Below are 16,902 nucleotides of genomic sequence, written 5' to 3'. Positions count from 1 at the left end.
TACGTTGATTAACTCTAAATATCAAATAGTATTTTAGAATTTTATTACTAATTACTCCATGTTGCTTATTTTTATTGGTATGCTTATGGGTAAATAAATGACATCAGAGCTGTAGGAGTGATTTACTTTGGCGTCATGTATACCCAGAAGGAAATAATTCAGATTAAGGGTGAGGAATATATTATAGTTTTATATTCTAATATTCAAGGACAATTATATAGCAGTTTTATAGTTAATCCAAATCCTTAAGTGGAAGTCAGTGGAGACCTGTGATAATTGAGTTAAAGCACCCGGCAGCCAATTTAGGGAAAAAGAGCCTCAAGGGGCTTGTGAGGGTGTTAGAGGAAAAAGACACTAGTTTGGGTTCCTGAGTCCTGCTGCAAGGAATGCAAGGAAAGCTGGCTTGGATTGGAGAAAGTTCCTGGAGATAAATGAAAGAAAGATGCATTTGACTCCTTAGTATTAATTTCTGAATTATTAATGAACTCCCACCAAGTATGAACCTGGTGCTCTGGGGCTCTGAAGAGTAAGAATGAAGTATAGACCTTGCTTCCAAAGGGTTTACAACTCAGTTGGAAAGACAAAGCACATATGTTGCTAGATAGGTTGGGATAAACCATGACATAAATTTACAGAAAGTTAAGATCTCTAACCCTCAGGTGCCAGCATAGATGTTTTCTCTCAAATCCTTTCACCTCCATTGAGAAGTTGAGGGATCATAAACTCAGAGCTTCTTGGTTCTGAACTATAAAATCATGGATTTCCTGCAAAGACCTAATATTGTAGAAAACATTTGAGGCCCACAGAAATGTCAAAAGGCATAGAATCTGGAGGTTGCCACGTTGGAGGAGAGAGGATAGTTATTGTCATCTTGGAGGACAATACACAGCAAATGGCTCATTGTTTTATTCCTTGTGGGGCTTCACTTTTGGGACAAATAAAGATTTAGTGAAAGTAAGTCTGAGTTTTAAAAGTTCTTCATGTTTAGGCAATTAGGCACATCAGGATAACTCAGCATCTTCTTCTTGACTAATATAAGAAGCTTTCCTAGAGATAGTTGTGGCAGGAACTGCTCTACTGATAGTGCAATACTTTTTCAGAAATAGTATAACTGTTTCTGATTATTGTCCAGAAGCACAGGAAAATATTCTTAGGATAGATTTGGCTTGTACATTAAATTATCAACTGTGAAAAACAAATCAAGAAAACAAGGATGCTTCAATAAAGAAGAAGTCCAATAACTGACATTCGGTAGATTTATTTGACCAGAAGGTTAAAAATGTCACTAACCCTTGCCCAAGACCATTAATTTTCCATGTATTAACAAATTTTGTAAAATATCATTATCAGAGTATAAATCAGTATTTTTAATCTTAGCAAATTACTGAAGAGGATTAAATTACACATGATTATTTGCTCTATTAAGAATTTATCAAGAAAGTAAAAAAAATACATAATTTTCAGGGTTGTTAAAATGGTATTTATTGTCTATTAGTATCACTAGATTAAACTACAACCAAAGAGAGAATATCTGGTGAGGGGAAGGTTGTCTGCATTTGCTTAAGAGTTATATTGGAAATAATTTAATTTTCATTATTTTAAAATGTTCTTTCCAAGCAAGGACAAAGTAAATTGTCAGTTGTATTCTGTGTTTACATTTTTCCCATTAGTTAGATACTTCAGAGATTCTGTATATATAAAACTGAAGAGTACAAATATTAAAATAAAATACAAATCAATACCATTTGTATAATTTAGTTTTCAAATGAATTTCTGATTACTTCATATCCTGCTAATATAAACATAAAAGGAAAACATCTCTTATATTTATAATGAATGAATTCATAACACTGGCATACATTTAACTTCCTTTTTTATTTTTAGAAATAGTTCTCTGACAGCACAATTCTCACATGTTGACTTAAGTATAATGAAGTTCATGTCGTCTCTGTTGTGCATAAATTTCTCTCGGCTTATCTTTAGTTTTATGCTAAAGGAATTTTACATTTATTCAAATAAAGCTATTTATTGATTCATAACACAAATAAATTGCAGTTTGAAATAGCTTTTGTACCTATTTTTCACACTGTCAATCTTTATTTCTCTATGCAGTTCATGCAAAATTTAATTAAGATTTGCTTTTTAGTTTTCCATTTTCCCCCTTGAATATTACTATCCTAAGTAGTAGCCAAATCAGCTATTCTGAATTCTCAGGCTGGTCCTAATTTTTATCATTTGTTTGCAAAAAATCCAAGTTGTCTGTCTTTCTTTATTACTTTTGGCATGCCAGTGTTTGAAAACTAAAAAAAATCTTTATTTTTGCTTATATTCAATGTACGTCATTTTTGATGCAATGTAGATAGCACATTGAGGTTGCCTGGTTTAGCAAATGAAAGAATAAGAATTCTCAGTTAAATCTGAATTTCAGATATACAATGAATCATTTTTTAGTATGTCTATGATATTGCATGCTTATACTGACAAAAATATGTATTGTTTGTCTGAAATTCAAATTTAGCCTGCTGTCCTATATTTTATCTGACAACCCTTACACATTTTGTCATATTTGGTAGAATTTCTGTAAACCTTTTATTCTTTTTTTTTTTTTAGATCTTATTACCTCTCTTTTATACTACCTCCATTACTTTCCATTTTTCAGGTTACAAAATAAGAAAACAATGGATTTGAGTATAATTTTTTGTCACACAGTGAAGTTGTCTCGCTGGGTGAGATATTAGATACTGTGTTCACATGTAATACATTAAAGTTCAAAAAAATTTTAAAGTTATGTTTCATTCATTCATTCATTTAGAATAGAGATGGGTCTCACTATGTTGCCCAGGCTGGTCTCAAGCTCCAGCCTTCAAGTGATCCTCCCATCTAGGCCTCCCAACATGCTGGGATTATAAATGTGAGCCACGAAGCCCAGCTGAAGTTATAAAAAAATTTAACAGCACAAGTAGCCAGGATACTGATGAAACTTTCTACTTTAAATCTCTAATTTAACATTTTCATCTCAAAATTTAAAACCTCTCCCACACTTTTTGGCTTCCTCCTTTGATTAGAGTTGGCTCGGAATGGGGTCTCTTCCAATGACAAGGAGGAGCATATCAAATTAATTTTCTTGCTTTTGACTAGTCATCAATAATATCATTCGTTAGTATTCTCAATCTATGCTCTTTGGACTTGGACTACTATAATTGTTGATTGGTGCTTGTAGTGGGGAAGGGTGGTCAAATAAAATTGGGAAATCCTGGGTAAAAAGGCATCTCAACTGAAGAACTTCCCTGAAACTTCAGTATTTTACTTTCCACTGGACATCTCTCATAGGGGAACCCCAGTATACTGCTTTTCCCTACTTTATTTGACATCAGAAAGTTTGTGTGTATGTGTGTGTGTGTGTGTGTGTGCACCATACCAAGTACACTTTTTGCGACATTCAGAGTTTTAGAAAACACAGTTAGGAAATTCTAAAGAGAGTTCCAGCTACTTTTCATCTGATTTCCAGGTCACAGGTGGCTTAAAGAGTAAAGTAGCATGATAGTCATTAGTAAGCAGTCTACCACCATATAAGTCAGGCTGCATCAAACATGACAGATTTCAAACGACTCACTCTGATTACAGATGAGTTAATTTAAGTTTAATAAACCCAAGTCCAAGTAACAGAGAATAGGAAAGGCATAGAGGTAGGAGAAATTTGGAACTAATCTTTGTTGTGCACTTACCATGGTACTTGAATCCATGCAAGATGCTTCTATATAATTTATATAAATTATGACTTCATAATACCCTCACAACAAAAATATAGCCTTATGTAGATGAGGGAACTCAGAATGGTCTAGTTATTTGTTTATTGTCACATAATCAGTTAAAATAGCACAACTGAAATTCAATACAGGTTCTGTTGGCTTCAAACCCATATTCTTTCCCTACTCACAAAAATCCACTTAAAGTCAATTTCCTTTGGCTTTTGCTATTCCTAGAAGGACCCAGACTACTCCTTCAGTTTTGAGAATTACTGTCTAAGGAAGCAATGATTCTTCCCTTTATAAACCATCTGGGCAGCTACTATTTTCTGATACTTACAATGACCACTTCTTTTTGTGATTTATTTAGGATGTTTTCCAAATTGCATATTAGTAGCCACTCACAGGGGTAAATGAAGGCTCATCAAGTAGTGAAAAGGCAGCTGTTCTCAATTTGCTGGCTGCCACTGGAATCATCTACTGACCTTTAAAAATGTTGATGCCTGCTTTTCAGCCCCACAAATTCCAATTTAATTGATTGGGGTATGGCAGAGGCGTTGGGATTTTAAAACACTACCTAGGTGATTTTAATGTGTAGCTAGGCTGAGAATTATTGTTTTTTAAGGATCAAGATGAGAATATAAGTATTTCCATAAAGAAGTAAAAGAAATAATGTTACTATTTATTCAACAAGCCCAACTTTTTGAATAGCTGCTGAATTTAAGGATTTTTTCAGATGGAAAATAAACAATTTAAAGTTTGATATCTTTTTCTATATAAATGACATTTGTATTCATTTGGAGAACCTGTTTAAATATGTGCTTACTTCACTAGTTAAGTTACTGATTCATGCTTATTTAATCTGTAAAACACATAATTCTCAAAAAAAAAAAAAAACCCATGGTGGTCTCACATCGTATCCCAGTGTAGATTTAATTATTACACTAAGAAATTCATATTATCAGAACAGCATGAGCTATCCCTAAGTCAACATCTTAAATCCTTTCAACAATGCACTTTTTACATTTCATATTTGTCTCTCTGATATTGACATTGTTGGAGGTTTAACAAAGCGAATTTAAGTAAAGTACCACTTTCTTGATGTAACTACAGTATTTTTCAAACCATTCTTTAATTTTGGTTGTTACTTTTTTCTAATTGGCAAAATTGAAGTAAAAGAGGCTCTATTAGATTTCTACTAGAAATAATACATTAAAATATTAAAGTAACAAAGTGACCATACAATGGGTTGAAAACAAAGCGCTCTCAATTGCCAGACTTTGGCAATGAATACATGTAGGAAGCAAGGGAGAATTTGGATATTATAAGGAGGGCAAAAATTTATGGTGTACTAATTGCCTTATACATCACAGTCTCATTAAACTCCTAATAATACTAGCATTTAGGTACTATTCCAACCATAAAAATGTGAGAATTGAGTCTCAGAGAGTAGGTTTTGAACTCACTCTATTTCTAGAGCTGTTGGTACTAACCATTATATGCTATTGTCTTCCTCAGAATGGTAATATTTTCTGCTTGAGTGACTAAGAGATTAAGTACATCAAACAACATAGATATGTAACTCAAGTAAATTAAAAGTTTCAGAGTAAGATATCAAGGTAATAAGTTTATACTTAGACATATTTAATTTGGGTGCAGGGATTTTACCCTGATAAAATATTCATTAGTCAGTTGACAATATGGATCTGACAATCAGTTGAAAGTTCAGAGATGAGGAAGATGGAGTACCAAATGCATGGTGGTGGTGGTGGTTGAGAAAGTGGCAGTGGAAAAAATAAGGGAGGAAATATAAAGTAAAAAGAGTTTTAACATATGATCCTGTGGGAACACCTCTAATTGTGAAGGAGATAAGGCACAATCAGATTGGCAAGAGAGATGGCAAAATAACAGAGACTACATCACAGAAACCAAGGGAAGAGACATTTTTAAGAAAGGAATGGTGATAGCAGTGTCAAATGCAGCAGAACTGGACTAGATAACGTGTGGGTAAAGGGATACTGGATTTGGCTGTTAGAAAGTCATTAGCAATCTTCTAAAGAATGATTTTAATATCCTTGTAGGGCTAAAATGGAGACTAGGTTAGCTTCCTGAGTAAACAAAGAGTGTTTGTTTAGAATTAATGTTTGTGGAGTGCCTCCTATAAACCATGCATTGTTCAAGGGTTTTACATGTTTTTAATGAGCTAACAACCCTACTTGGGGAGTCAGTGTACTCAAGGGCACACAGAATTAAAGAGAGACAGACAGTCACTCCAACATATTAGAAGTTTTAAAAAACTCTTCTCTAAGCTAATGATGGAACAATTAGACCAGAAAATAAAACAAAACAAAACAAAAACAAAAACAAAAAACAACCACCCAAACAGTAAGGATATAAAGGATCTAAACAACACAATTTTCCACCTTGGTCTAATTTATATTTAGAATACCCAACAACTGCAGAATACACATAAGATATTTAACAAAATATAAGTATTTGAAAATTGAACAGCATACATCTAAATAATCCATGACTCCAATAAAAAATTACAAGGGGAATTTAAAATAATTTTAACTGAATGTTAATTAAAATACTGTATGTCAAAATTTTGGGAGACAACTAAACTATTCTTAGAGGGGATTTAGAGCTTATTTTTATATTATAAATCAGTGACCTATGGTTTTATCCTAATAAACTAGAAGGAGGAGCGCAAACTAAATCCAAGTAGAAGAAACAAAATAATAAAATAAGAGCTGACATCAAAGACATAAAAAACAGACAAATGAAAAAAGCCAAAAGATGTTTCTTTAAAAAGATCAACAAAAGTAATGGAATTACTTTTAATTTTAATTACTTTTAATCAGTAATTAGACTGATTTAAAAAAGCCAAATCAGCAATATCAGAAATGAAAAATGGGTTTTCTACACAAATCATATGAATATTAAAAGGATAAAAAAAGAGTATTAAGAACACTAATGTCAACAAATTAGGCAACTTAGATTAAATGGACAAATTCCTTGAAAGATGCAAAGTACTAAAGTTTACTGAAAAATAAATAGATAAGCTGGAGAACCTTATCTGATTCCATATGGTTTCTTTGGTAAATTCTATCAAATAGTTAAAAAAGAAGCAATATAAATTTAATACAAATGCCTTGAGTAAATAGAAGAGAAAGAAACATTTTCATATGATTTTCTGATTTCATAATTATCCTGAGACCAAAACCAGAGAAAGACACAAAAAACAAAAACAGAAAAAGACCCACTCTCTCCGTGAAATTAAATGTTAAAATCCTTACCAAAATGTTAGCAGTTGAATCCTGCAATATTTATAAAAGATAACATATCCTGACCAAGTGAGATTTATCTCAGGAATGCAGAGTTACCTTAAGATTAAGAAATCAATCAATATAATTTAACATATTAAGAGAATGAAAGAGATATACCATGATATCATTTCACTGGAATCAGAAAAAAAGTCCATCTGATTGAATTTAACATCTATTCCTGATAAAAACTCTTAGAAAAGTAGGAATAGAAAGGAACTGCCTCCATCTGATAAGAGGCATTTATAAAAAATCTGCACCTAACGTCCTGTTTCCTTGTGAAAGTCTTAATGGTACTCTCCTAAGACTGGGAACAAAGATGCTTACTTTTACCATTTCTATTCAGCATTGTATGTCATAGACCTGGCTAAAAAAGCAAGAGAAAATAATTCATGAGGATCAGAAAAAAAAGATAACACTGTCTCCATTTGGAAATGATGAATCTATTTACTTTGAAAATCTACAGGAATCTAAAAATCAACTATTAAAGTAAGCGAATTTTACCAAGTTGCAGGATACAACGTTAATAAAAATCAATTGTAGTTTTATATAATAGCAAATAATTGGTAAATGAATTTTTAAAAAGTCATATCTAAGAACACTAAAATCATAAAGTACTTGGGAATTAATTTTTCAAAGATATACAAACCATCTGCTCTGAAAATTATGGAACATGGTTGAGAGAAATTTAAAGAAGACCTAAATAAATGGAAGGCATATATTTAAAGATTCAGTATAATTAAAATGTTAATTATTCCCAAATTTATCTATAGATTCCACATAGTCCCAGTCAAAATTCAAGTGGGGTTGTCTTTAGAAGCTGGCAAGCTGGTTCCAAAATTTACATGGAAAGGTAAACATATTTTAAGAAAGAACATAGTTTAAGATGCACAATTCTTGATTTCAAGACTTACTCTAAAGTTATAATACAGACAGTGTGGTATTGGTGAACAGCAGAGATATACGTCATAGCAATACTTTAAAGAGTCCTCAAATAGACTCACAAATATATGTTCAGTTGATATTTGAAGACAGTGCCAAGATAATCCACTGGAGTGAAGGAAAGTCTATTAAATACCTAGTTATCCATATTAAAAATAATGATTATCAATTCTTTACAGATACACAAAAATTAACTTGAAATGAATCATAGACATAAAAGTCAAAACAATAAAACATACAACACTGGAGAAAATTTTAGCTACTTTAGATTAAGCAAAGGTCTCTTAGTATAAAGGAATACAAATTATAGTGGAAGAAAAATCATTAAATTTGATTTTACCAAAGTGTAATAAAGCTTCTGATTTCTAAAAAACTGTTAAAAAATAAAGTCAAGCCACAGAATGGGAGACAATACCCATAAGACTTGAGAATTAATTGCATGATAAAATATTTGTATCCAGACCATATACAGATCTCTTATAAGTTAACAATAAGACTAATAACTCATTTAAAAAAACTCACTTAAAAATAGACACAAAATTTAAACAGATACCTCACAAAAGAAGATATTTGAATAGTCCAAATCTCAGGGAATATGGTCAACATCACTGTCTTCAGGGAAATTTTAAATGATAATGAAATTCCAGTTTATACTCATTAGAATGGCTGATGATAAAACGATGAAAAATACCTACATTGGTGGAAATATGGAGCATACAGAATCTTCATGCATTATTAATAGTAATATAAAATGGTACAACTACTTTGGAAAACTATTTGGCATTTGTAAAAAAAGGCTAAACAAATATGGCTGACAATACGACCCAGCCATTCCATTGCAAGGACTTTACCCATGAGGAATAGATGCATATGTCCATAAAATATCCTATATATGAATGTTCACTGTATTCATAATAGCCTCAAACTAGAAACAACCCAATTCATCAATGGTGAATGGATAAAAAAGATGTGCCATTCATACAATTGAATGCTACTTATCAGTTAGTACAAAGCAGGAAACTACTGATACATGCAACATGGATGAATCTCAAAATCATTATGCTGAGTTAAAGAAGCCAGACATAAAAAGGGTCCATTTTGTATTATACTACTTACATAAAAACGAAACTAATATAGGTGCGAAAAAGCAGATGAATGGTTGCCAGAGTCCAGAGACAAAGGCAGGGAAGGACTGCAAAAAAACCTGAGGAGTCTCTTAAAGGTGGTTTGAATGTCTATTTTGATTATGGTGGTGGCTTCAGGATATACACAACTATTAAAATTCGTAGAATTTTGCATTTTAAATTGATATAATTTATCTTATGCAAATTATTCCTCAATAAAGTAGGTGAGGCAAAAAACAAAACAGATGGACACCAAATAACTGAGACAATAAAGCAGGGGTAGCTACAGTCCAGAACATTCTCCAAGCAGAATATAGCATAAAGTAGAGCAAGTTTATCTTGGAGACACCAGAAGATGTACAAACACTACTTGCGATGTTGAACGGGGTTGAAAACAGGAAAATGAGTTGAAAGTTTAATAAGTTCCTTTCACTACTTTAAAAAAGTTTGTGTCAGAAATAACCTATTGAATTTTTGCTGTGATAGATGATAACTTAGTTTATTACTTCCATTATTCCACCTGCTAAGCCCCATTCTCCTTACATGTTTATATCAGTATTTAAAATGTTTTAATTGGTTATCTTCGTGGCTTTCAGTAACACTCTATCAACTTTCTCTTTGTTTTCATTAACAACAAATGTAGTTTTTGACTCTGTACTGTGTGAAATGATATTCATCAACCCCTGTTGATCCCTTAAATTTTCTTTTGCTTTATACTATAGAATTTCTACTTTTACATTGTTGAAGTTCATAATATTTCTCTATTTTCTTATCATTACTAAGTTTACATAGCTTAGAACAGGTTTAATCTAAAAGTTACAAATCAAATACACAATTGTGGCTACGTATATTTATTGCAGAAGCAGTGGCTACTAATATTATACATCTCTTTATCAGCTTTTGCTTTTCTTAGAGTTTCTAGTCTTCCTACTTTTTAATTGATACATAATATTTACACATATTTATAGGGTACAAGTGATATTTTGATAAATGTACATAATGTGTAATGATCAAGTCAAGTGATTTAGGATATACATCACCTCAAACATTTATCATTTATTTTTGTTGTGAACATTCATGTCTTCTAGCTATTTTGAAATATACAATATATTGCTGTTAACTATAGTCATCTCACTGTGCTATCAAACACTACAACTTACTCCTTTTAGCTGACTATTCATTTGTATCTATTAACCTACCTCTCTATGCTGTCTCCACCTGCCCACCACCTCGCCACCCATTCCCTGTCTCTGGTAACTATCATTCTATTCTTTACCTCCATGAGATTAACTTTTTAAACTTCCACATGTAAGTTAGAACATTGACATTTGTCTTTCTATGTCTGTCTTATTTTACTTACCATAATGACCGCTATTTTCATCCATGTTGCTGCAAATGACAGGATTTCCTTCTTTTAATGACTGAATAATGGTCCATTATGTATATTTACCACATTTTCTTTATCTATTTAGCCATCGATGGGCACTTAGGTTGATTCCATATCTTGGCTATTGTGAATAGCGTTGCATTAATCATGGGGGTGCAGGTATCCTTTTGATATACTGATTTTCTTTGCTTTTGATAAATACCTAGTAGTGAGATTGCTAGCTTATATAGTAGTTCCATTTTTAGTTTTTGAAGAAATCTCCCACTGCGTTCCATAATGGCTGTACTAATTTACATTCCCACCAACAACATATAAGTATGCCCTTTTCTCTGCATCCTTGCTGGCATTTTTTTTTTGTCCTTTTGGTAATAGCCATTCTAACTGGGGTTAGATGATATTTCATTGACTTGCATTTCCCTCATGATTAGTAAAGTTTAGCAGTTTTTCATATACCTGTTGGCCATTTGTATGTCTTTTTTTGTAAGATGTCTATGCAGATCCTTTGCTCACTATTTTCTTTTCTTTTTTTTTTTGCCGTTAAATCGAGTTCTTTATATTTTCTGGTATTAATCTCTTGTCACATAAATAGTTTGCAAACATTTTCTCCCATTCAACAGGTTGTCTCTTCAATCTGGTGATTGTTTTCTTTGCTGTGCAGAAACTTTTTAGTTTAATATACCCTCATTTTTCTCTATTTTTGTTTTTGTTGCCTGTGCTTTTGAAGTCTTAGTTATAATATATTTGCTTAGACTAATGTCCTGAAATGTTTTCCCTATATTTATTCTAGTAGTTTAATAGTTTCATGTCTTATGTTTTAAGTCTTTAATACATTAATACATTTTGAGTTGACTTTTATACATGTTGAGATATATAAAGATTGATTACATGATTTCTGTAAAACTGTGTACTCATTTTTTTAGTTATTACTTATTTTGATAAAAAACATACTCAAGTAATTGTAGAAAATATACATGAGGTAACTTTTATGTGTCCTTGTATGGCTGAAAATGTAGTGTAATTAGCGTGAGAAAAAAAAACAAGTAAAAAGGCATAGAAGTAGCTGCCTCTGGAGAAAGCAATTGGGATTTAGAAGGGATGTGGTGGGTGACCATTGCTTTTCACCATCCGAAAGCTTGCATTATATTGATTATAAATATTTTAAAAAAGTTCCTGGTGACTTGCTTTATTCTATGCATTAATGATTTTCAGAATTTTGTCAGAAATTACGCGTGTAAATTGCAAATTATGCAAAACAATTTGAGAAACAGGTTTTTAAATTTCTACGTGAAGATATCATTTCCTTTATTGCCCTTAGGGCTGATCGCAATTTATTGATGCTGACAATGTTTTAGCACTTTTTGTACTTGTCTTTAAATCTTAAAATACTTTTATGAGGAAGACACTATTTTTAATCCCCATTTTATAGATGAGAAAAGTGAGGCTCAAAGAGATTTCCCCAAGTCTGCCTGTTTCCATATCAACATCTGTATTGTATTGTATTAATGAGATTCTGCAATTCTGGTAGCCTCAGTTGCTCTTTGGGGATGAATTAAATGCTTTAGAAACTATAAGCCCAGGTATAAAAACTGATAAATATTAAAAAGGTCTAATTATTGCTGTTGTTAAAAAATAAATTTTAAAATAGTTACATTTTGTTGTTGCAAGTTAGTAAAATATAAACATGTTTCATTCAGGTCTTACCTGAGTCAATGTAGAATGTGACCTTGTCTACTTTAAATATTGATATCAGGACTCAACTTGAGAGGATATGAGTTAATGCCACTTTGAAAAAAAATCTCAACCAAGATTTCCTTGAGTAGGTCAATAGATTAACTGTGGTACATCCAGACAATGGACAATTATTCAGTGCTAAGAGGAAATAAGCTATCAAGTCATGAAAAGACAAGGAAGAAATGTACATGCATATTACTAAATGAAAGAAGCCAATCCAAAAATACTACATGCCGCATTATTCCAACTACATGACATTCTGGAAAAGGCAAAACTATTGAGTCAGTACAAAGATCACTGATTGCCAGGAAACAGGAGGAGATGAACAGGCAGAGTATAGAGGATTTTTAGGCCAGTGAAACTACTCTGTATGATACTAAAATGATGGATATATATGTCCATCATATATATATGCATATAACTATATATTTGCCTACATCTACAGAATATACAACATCAAGAGTGAACCCTAATGTGAACTATGGACTCTTGATGATGATGTGTCAATGTAGGTTCATCAGTTGTAGCAAATATCCTACTCTTGTGGGGGATGTTGATAATGGAAGAGGCTATACATGTATGGGGCAGGTAGTATGTGAGAAATTTCTGTAACTTCCAATCAATTTTTCTGTGAATCTAAAACTGCTCTAAAAATAAAGTCTATTAAAACAATTCTGGGGTAATGTACCAACACACTTCAATTTCTTTAGAAAGTATTTATTGAATGGTGTCAACTTCCTCATGCTTATTTTACTTGTTTTTATTATGAGAAGGGTAATGGTATTGACCTCATAGGATTGCTAAGAAGATGAACTAAAATGATACATCTAAACTGTACAGTGTCTAGCACATAGTAAACTTTAATATATAACTATTGTTCTTCGTGGTAATGCTGTTATAAATAATATGTTTTAGACATTATGCTTGACATCTTTGATAGAATGGTATGCAAAAACTTACAGTCTGAAATCACAGAGATCATGTATAACCTGAATCCACTTGCACTTAGCAGTATTGGAGTGGGAGTAAAACAGTTGTTAGGGTTTTCCAAGTTTCGGAGGTTGCCTGTTGGATGGGGAAATTTGAGACAGTGGAGGCTTCTGAAAGCAGAACTAATGTGAAAGTTGCAGATACCAGGATGAAATCACTTTTGTTAGACCCAGACAAAATAGGGCCAGGAAGGACAGAAGGAGAGGAGATGCATTTATATCTGAGATAAGAACTTGTTTCCAAGGACTGTCTAAATACCCTTAATGCATTTCCTGCTTTGATAAGGCTTATCACTAGACATTATTTAGGACTGTATTAATTCAGACAGTGTTCTTAAAGAACACTTGACCAGTAATGACATTTCCACCAATGAATTGACAACAACTCTGACTTCGAACCTCTGAAACCAATGAACTCTGTTTCTAAGCAGCATATATACATTTTGTTTTGTTTGCAGTAAAAGCTCCCCTTTCCTCTTCCCATACCAAATGCACTGATGACTTGCCATTCCATGTATTATTCCAGATTATAATCATTCTTTTTATTCTCAGGTAAACTCAATATATTTAGAAATAATTCTCTTTACTCCTCCCTTTTTTTTTTTAAGTTGACACTATCATTATTGAGGTCTAAGATAAATCTGTAAAAAAATAACATCAGGGCATCCTGATCAACTGAAGGACCAGAAGGAGTCAAGACGTGGTTATGTATGAATGAAGGGTTGAAAGAAAAAAAGAAAAGATGGTTTTAGAGTACCAGATTTTGGAATTAAGTTTTCAATGGATTAGACTGATGTAATAAGGAAGTCCAAGGCAGAACTTGTGAGAGGATAAAATAGAATATATACAAAAGTTGTTTGCTATGGTTTGCATATTGTTTGTTTACACCAAATCTCATGTTGAAATTTTATTTTCAGTTTGGCAGTATTGGGAGGTGGGGCCCAGTGGGATGTGTTTGGGTCATGTGGGCAGATCTCTTATAAATTGCTTGGTGCCATTCTTGAAGTAGTGAAAGAGTTCTTGCTTTTGCAAGAGTACATTGGTTCTCAAGGGAATGAATTAGTTCCTGGGAGAGAAGACTGTTACAAAGGTAGGGTGTGCCTCAAGTTTGGTTCCTCCTCATAGATGCCTGCTTCCCCTTTGACTTTCTCTGCTGTGTTTTGAGGTAGCACAAAAGCCCTCATCAGAAGCTGAGCAGATACCAGCCCATGCTTCTCGTCCAGCCTGCAGAACCATCAGTTAAATAAACCTCTTTCCTTTATAGGTTGCCAAGCCTTAGATACTCCTTTCTAGCAACGTAAAGTAGACCAAGACATTGTTCAAACTGGGAACGGTGAGGTGACACTGTCTTATGTTTTGAATTCCCAAGGGCTATCACAGAAAATGAAAGAAAATGAAGACTTACTTGAAAACTATGGCCTCTGATATTTAGGTCAGTAGATGGTAATTAGAGTGGTTACAGGAAGGGTGATGTAAAAGGAGACGGTGTGGGTTTCAAGAGGGAGGGGATTTTGGAGTCATGGTAAGAAGGCAAAGATCTGAAAGTGGCAATAAGAAACAAAAAGACTGTCAGCCATCCCTTCTGGATTCAAGAAATAAAAAAGAGAGATAATTGTGGCTTTTCTTTGAACTTTATAACCTGCTATTAAGCTGTTTGCTTTCTCAATGTCACTTGTTTCCCTAACGCATACATCAGACTTGAAGGAAATTTGTATTCCTTTACAGGAGGCTGCCTTTCTGAAGGAGTCCTCTTCTAAGGACTGAGTAGAGGAAGCTGTGATTTATACCTTACAAAGACCTTTTCTAGATATGCAGTGTCAGACTTTTAAGCTGCTGCTATTAGAAACTGACTGAGCTGCCAGAAGTAGAAGTACTTAAGTAATTAATAAATGCCTAAGTAGTTAAAATGAAATTATTTGTAAGACAGTGTTAGAAACTACCCTAAAGGATCTTTGCTCTTCTTGGCAATACAATTAACTTCTATCATTGTGTGTGTGTGTGTTTGTCTGTGTATATACAAACTCTTTTGGCTTTGAAGAACAAATTTACATACACACTTTGTCAAATTCAAGTCTAGTTTGAGACTTTTTTTTAAACAGTCATTTCCAAAATCTAAGCAGAGCTAAACATTGATAGAATATAAATAGATACACAATTTGGTTTACAACAGGATGGTTTATGAAACTGATCTGAAAATAAATATACTGCTGAATAAGATTTTAGTGTTTAACAGATTCAAGAGGGTTGTTATTGTGCTTTATTCAGTACTCCTAAAGCAAGGTTCTATAATATGGCTATTGGTACTACAAACATGGCATAACATTAAAAATTAAGTCTTCTCAGAATAGTTCTCAAATAGTAATATTAAAATAATAGTACATAAAAAAGACTGGGCACGATGGCTCATGCCTGGAGTCCCAAAGCTGGGAGGCCAAGGTGGGCAAATCACTTGAACCCCAGAGTTGGAGACCAGCCTGGGCAACATGACAGAACCCTCTCTACAAAAAATAAGCAAAATTAGCTTATTTTGGTATGAGCCTGTAGTCCCAGCTACTTGGGAGACTGATGAGGCAGGAAGACTGCTTGCGCCCAGGAGGTCAAGGTTGCAGTGAGCTGTGACTATGCGACTGCACTCCAGCCTGGGCAACAGAGTGAGGTCCTGTCTTAAAAAAAAAAAGCATATAAAAAAGAATTCTAGCTGCCAGGAGAATTGAAATGTGACTTTCCTCTTACTTGAGAGTTTCAATTTATGCATAAATAAATGTTATGAAGAAGTAATTTAACAGGATAAATACATTTTTAGATACAATAAAATACAATGTCTTGGAGCCTCTTTATTCTAGTGACCTCTGCCTTTCTAATTAACTATATAGCTACCTTTTGGTCTTTCAAGTTCATTTAGTTCACAGAAGTTATTATAATAATTAATTAGGATGCTCTGAAAATTGGAGGCAGGCCAGCCAAAGTGAATGAGGCACTGAAAATAGTCAAACTTACGATTCAGAATCTTTAAAATTGAAGGCTAAATACTTTATTTTACTTTACTTTTCTATGATGATAGGATAAGCCTTAATGTTTTATAACATTTTTCAGAATGTATTTTTTTCAATGGAATAAACATCCAAGATTAGTAATATTAGATAGGATTTTTTTCACTCTTTGACAAAAACATACATATGAGTGGTTTAATACATTTTTAAAAATAGCAGAAAATTTCAGCCTCACAAACTCAAATGTTGATTTTGCACTATTAAGACAAATTTAAAGTGACATATCAACATTATTCGATTTGAGTGTGTTAAGAAAGATATATTAGCATTTCATTAGTCAAATTTAATAACTGCTTATCAATAAACATAATAGTTATATAATAAATATAAAGATGATTAATATTTTTGAGCAGTTACTTTGTGTCAAACATTTTAGTTTTTACATATATTATGTCAATTAATCTTCACCCCAAAATCCTCCACAGTGGATGTTATTATTATCTTATTTTACTCAATGGATTACAACTAGGAAGTGGCTATTGCTGGCCTTTTGGGGTCGAGTATTCAAGCCTTTACATACCATGCTATAGATGCTCTCTCATATTTTTTGTACCTTTGACATGTGTGGTTATAACTAACAGTAACATTTCTGTGTTTCTAAATGTTA

General features: G+C 32.8%; 1 protein-coding gene across 5 annotated transcripts in view, besides 1 other annotated feature; it reads right to left on the bottom strand.

Moving 5' to 3' along the window:
* Positions 1-16,902, bottom strand: part of HTR1F (5-hydroxytryptamine receptor 1F) — a 201,134-nt gene that overhangs the window by 29,429 nt on the left and 154,803 nt on the right. The window lies entirely within an intron of this gene.
* Positions 14,641-14,690: a silencer, noted in NCBI's record as "silent region_14545". NCBI's record gives its function as "represses an Ori minimal core promoter by ATAC-STARR-seq in GM12878 lymphoblastoid cells {active_cell/tissue: GM12878}" and the evidence as "EXISTENCE:reporter gene assay evidence [ECO:0000049][PMID:35858748]".

Source organism: Homo sapiens, chromosome 3, assembly GCF_000001405.40.
Source record: "Homo sapiens chromosome 3, GRCh38.p14 Primary Assembly".
In the NCBI taxonomy this organism is placed as follows: domain Eukaryota; kingdom Metazoa; phylum Chordata; class Mammalia; order Primates; family Hominidae; genus Homo; species Homo sapiens.
Note: the sequence above shows the minus strand (reverse complement) of the source record. Positions and strands in the feature narration are given on the sequence as shown.